Raw genomic sequence first — 1,974 nt, 5'->3', positions numbered from 1 at the left:
TACTTATAAAATAAATATTTTTCTCTGGCCTATGCATAAATTATTTTCAGCACAAACCTACACATTGATGTAAGATCAAACTGTTCTCAAGCTAGAAAGCTCAGAAGCATCCTTAAGGCTAGTCGTGGTGGCTCATGCCTGTAATCGCAGCACTTTGGGAGGCCGAGGCAGGTGGATCACGAGGTCAGGAGATCGAGACCATCCTGGCTAACACGGTGAAACCCCGTCTTTACTAAAAATACAAAAAAATTAGCCAGGCGTGGTGGCGGGCGCCTGTTGTCCAAGCTACTCGGGAGGCTGAGGCAGGAGAATGGCGTGAACCTGGGAGGCAGAGCTTTCAGTGAGCTGAGATTGTGCCACTGCACTCCAGCCTGGGCGACAGAGCAAGACTCCATCTCAAAAAAAAAAAAAGAAGAATCCTTAAAGCATTGCATCTTCCTGAATCTCTAATTCTATATCTTAAATGTCCCTGTTATTTAGCCTCTTCTTTTGATGACCCTTGATAGTGTCTTTTTTATCTCACCTTAATTCTGATGATATTCTACTAACTTGAAGATATGTCACTAATCTCCCTATCTAATCCAACTTCCAGACTCTTACCCAATATCCTCCTGAAGACATATACTAATCATATGACTATTCTACTTAGAAACTACTATCAGCTGCCTATTATCTACAGCATAATTTCAAGTATCTGAACTTGCCATATAGGATGCTGCATTTTTAAATACTGTGAAATGAAATGAGAACATAGCACAGAGACTCTTTCCTTTCTCATCTCTTCTTGCTCCCCTACTATTTCACTGTTATATAATAAAGAATCTGTTTTATTTTATTCCTGGTTTCTAAAGAGACCCTTTTAAAACCTTATAATGTCCTAAGTGATACAAGTGTCTTTGATATTCCAAAGCAGGCCCTGCAGCATCCCTGAGTTTGTGCCAACAAGATGACTTGGAATGGGGGCTGGTCACAACGGAAAGATGAACCATATGATTAAATGGTTAATGATTTAAGCCAAATTATGTTAGTCCAACCTCTTGACCTTTCGGGAAGGGAGTGAGGCTGGAGATTTCGATAATATGACTAATGATTCAATTAATCATGCCTATGTAATGAAACTCTACTAAAACTCTGGACACCGAGGGTTGGGTAAGATTCCTGGTTGATGAACTCAATATTGGTTTGAAGGGTGGGTGATACGTCCTGACTCTATGGGTAAAGGGCATGGATGCCCCATGTCTGTGACCCTTTCACATCTTGCCCTATGTGTCTCATGCATCTCTTCATTTGGCTGGTCCTGCTTTGTATCCTTTATGATAAAATTATAATTGTAAGTACATTGCTTTCCTGAGTTCTGTCAGTCATTTCAGCGCATTATCAAACCTCAAGGGGTCACGGAATCCTTGAATTTGTAGCCAGTTCATCAGAAGTGCAAATGGCCTGGGAAACCCTGAACTTGTGGTTGTTGTGCAGCAGTTTTGATGAGAACTCTGTTCTTAACCCTGTGAAGTCTGTGCTAACTCTAGGTATTCAATAGTTAGCATCAGAAATGCATTGTAGTATTGCACTCACTAAACATTTAGCTAATTTCGGGTGATCTTATTCTCTGTGACCCCTTCTCTTAGCACGTAATATTTGTCTTTTTTATTAAAACTATATGGACTTTTCCTAGTTATTCAAAAGAATATTACAGAATAATTAAATAATTATCTAGGCCTATGGATTTAGTTAATTATTCTCTTTTTTTCCTGAGTTCTTCAGCTCTTGGGCTTTGCCTTTAACTTTGGCTTTGGTTTTGGTATTAATTTTAGTTTAGTCTTTGGGATTATGCATATACAATCAGTGTGATTATATTTGACACTTGGTATTTTATTGTCTTCACCATTACCCATCCGTTCCAACTTTTATTCTTTTTTTCTACTCATAATATCCATTCTAGTAAAAATAATGTTAAACTTGCCAATTCAACTTCAC

At 38.6% G+C, this 1,974-nt stretch overlaps 1 annotated feature.

The window, feature by feature from the left end:
- Window positions 535–1,734: an enhancer, noted in NCBI's record as "CDK7 strongly-dependent group 2 enhancer chr8:84489861-84491060 (GRCh37/hg19 assembly coordinates)". NCBI's record gives its function as "activates an origin of replication core promoter dependent on BRD2, BRD4, P300/CBP, MED14 and CDK7 cofactors, with strong dependence on CDK7, by STARR-seq in HCT116 cells {active_cell/tissue: HCT116}" and the evidence as "EXISTENCE:reporter gene assay evidence [ECO:0000049][PMID:35650434]".

This window comes from Homo sapiens, chromosome 8 (genome assembly GCF_000001405.40).
Source record: "Homo sapiens chromosome 8, GRCh38.p14 Primary Assembly".
In the NCBI taxonomy this organism is placed as follows: domain Eukaryota; kingdom Metazoa; phylum Chordata; class Mammalia; order Primates; family Hominidae; genus Homo; species Homo sapiens.
Note: the sequence above shows the minus strand (reverse complement) of the source record. Positions and strands in the feature narration are given on the sequence as shown.